Source organism: Homo sapiens, chromosome 3, assembly GCF_000001405.40.
Source record: "Homo sapiens chromosome 3, GRCh38.p14 Primary Assembly".
Lineage (NCBI taxonomy): Eukaryota > Metazoa > Chordata > Mammalia > Primates > Hominidae > Homo > Homo sapiens.
This window is the reverse complement of record NC_000003.12, coordinates 169,790,478-169,793,002: the sequence shown is the minus strand read 5'-3', so window position 1 is coordinate 169,793,002 and position 2,525 is coordinate 169,790,478.

The window sequence follows — 2,525 nt, the reverse complement described above, 5'->3', positions numbered from 1 at the left end:
TCTTTGTGTCTGGCTTCTTTTGTTCAACATTATATTAGTATGATTCATTTATGTTGTTTCATGTAGCAGTAGTCTGTTCACTTTTCATTGCTTTGTAGTATTCCTCACATGCTGGGTAGTAGGATGTCTACCAGATTCTGGAAAGAGTTTGATTTCCCAGGCTACTGTCTCTTCCTGTGTGCTATAGAAGAGACCCACAAGTTCCCATATTCCCCCAAAGGGAGATTCAGAAGATGGCTGAAGGAGAAGCAAGTAGGCTTACCTTGAGCTTACAGTGGGGTGCAGGTGGTAAACCTGTAACCTGACCTACACTGCTGCTTGAGGCAGAGTTGCAGGTGATAGGGCCTCAGAGAGTTTTCCGCATCCAAAAGAACTGAGATGAAGTCAGTTCAGCCAAGGACAACTGGACTCTGACCAGACTAGGAAAGACTTGTTACTTATTTTATAAGCTGCTGCCTGCCACAACAGAGGTCAGTATAATTAACCCAGAGAATGGAAGGGCTCCACAAAGACTCTGTCTACCCTGATGCCCCTGTCTTGTATGATATGTCTGGACACCATTTTAGAAAGACAAAAGGCAGAAATAAAACAGCATTTCTCCAAAAGATTAAGCATTACCTTAAAATCCCTTAAGATATAAATTCTATCCCCTTTATATCAGACTAGGTTTTAAACTGGCTAAAACTAAAAGTTAATTTTTTCCAGACTTACCACTGGGTATGGGCTCAAGAGGAAGGACATATAAGTTCCATAGGAAAACTCTCATTTTCTCTGCACATCTAAATTATAAAGAGCAAATCTGCAATCATATTGTATGTATTGTTTCATTTTTCTCTTAGCAATCATCCTTTAAGACCCAGTTCAAAGACTGCTTCACCTTACACTGTTGCAGATCATATTATACTCATCATTTTACAATGTTTCAAATTTGAAAGCAAAAAATAAAGCAGTATGTGCTTTTCAGATATTTGGGAAAATAATGATCATTTGTCTTAAACGTTCTCCTTTTCAAACTTTTCTATAGTATTATCATTCATCATGTCTTCTTAATATCTACTACAACCATATCCATCTGGTTTCTGCTCCCACTATTATACTGTACCTGCCTTCTAAAGGATCATCATGCTCCAATTATCCAGCCCAATGTTGTCTCAGATTTACATCCTACTTCTCTGTACCATGTGACTGCTACAAAGCCACTTTTGCCTCTGAAAAATGTGTGCCACCTTGGTTTTCTTCCTTTCTGCTATCACTTTCCATCTTCTTTTCCGTCTTTGCTTATCCTTTAAATGAATTTTCCCCCAAATTCTGTCCTCATCTTTTTTTCTCCTATACCATCTCCCAGGGCTGCCTTAATCATTTCTATAAATTATTAGCTGCAAGATCTGTATCTCTAGTTTTAACATCTCCTGGTTCAGGCCCCATTTCCAACCACTACCAGAAATTTCCTACATATCTCACCACCAGTCAAATTCGGTACATCAAAATTGCTTCCCTTCTCTAAACATGCTCCTTGACTTATCTTGATGTCAATGGTATCACTATCCTCTCAATCACCAAGGATCAAAGCTTAGGTGTCCAATTTGGGGCTGCCTGATTACAAGGAAAAGAAAGTGACTCAGCCTGTTTAAGAAAAGGGGGATTTAACATAAGGATACAACAGCCACAATCAATGGCATCCAGGGGCAGAAAATGAATCATGGCTGCATCACCTCAGTAGGACTGCAGAGCCAGAAACTAAGGCCACTTTTCTGATCTCTCTAGGGCAGTCTCTTGGCTCTGCAAACCTGTTTCATTCCCTAACTTTGCTCTATAGATCAGCTTTCTCTGCTTACTCATCATTTCCTTTAGACTTTAGCTTGCTTCACTGACTTCAAGGCCAGTTCTAAAATGATCTTTTCATTTATACGTATATCATTATCTGATTGTCTCAGAATTTCATAGCTCAAATTTGTGAGAAAGAATCTTACCAGCTCAGTCTAGCCTATGAATTGTTTTTCCCTGGTGAAGTGTCTTGTTGCTGTGGTCACCAGTATGGAATCATGTGTTACCTATGTGGCTGTCTAATCCCCACCCTCTAGCACGCAACTGTGGTTGGCACGTGAGGACATAGGTTACAAACCTGGCTATCTAATCTCACTCCTTCAGCACAGGATATGGGTAGAGGACTATTTCAAGATGGTATAGGTGTAGTACTGGAGATGCCTCTGACCTCTATCTCCTCTCCACTTAATGCTTTCTCTCCATTCTGCCTAGTTCCCTCTTCATCAGCTATGTGCAAATTCTTCCATCAGCCATCTCCTCGTTTGCCTATCCAGGTAAGCAATGGCTGTTTCTCTGTCCATTCTACTCCTGTTGACTGCTCAGCAGTTCCTTTCTTGCCTTCCCCTACTATAACACTCAACATCTTGGCTTGTCTTATTGCAAGTTATATTTATGCTTGGCATCTCCATTTGACTGTAAACTTAAGGGTAGTTTATCATCTTTGCAGCTTTATGCATTCTGATTTGAATTTTTTTCCCAGC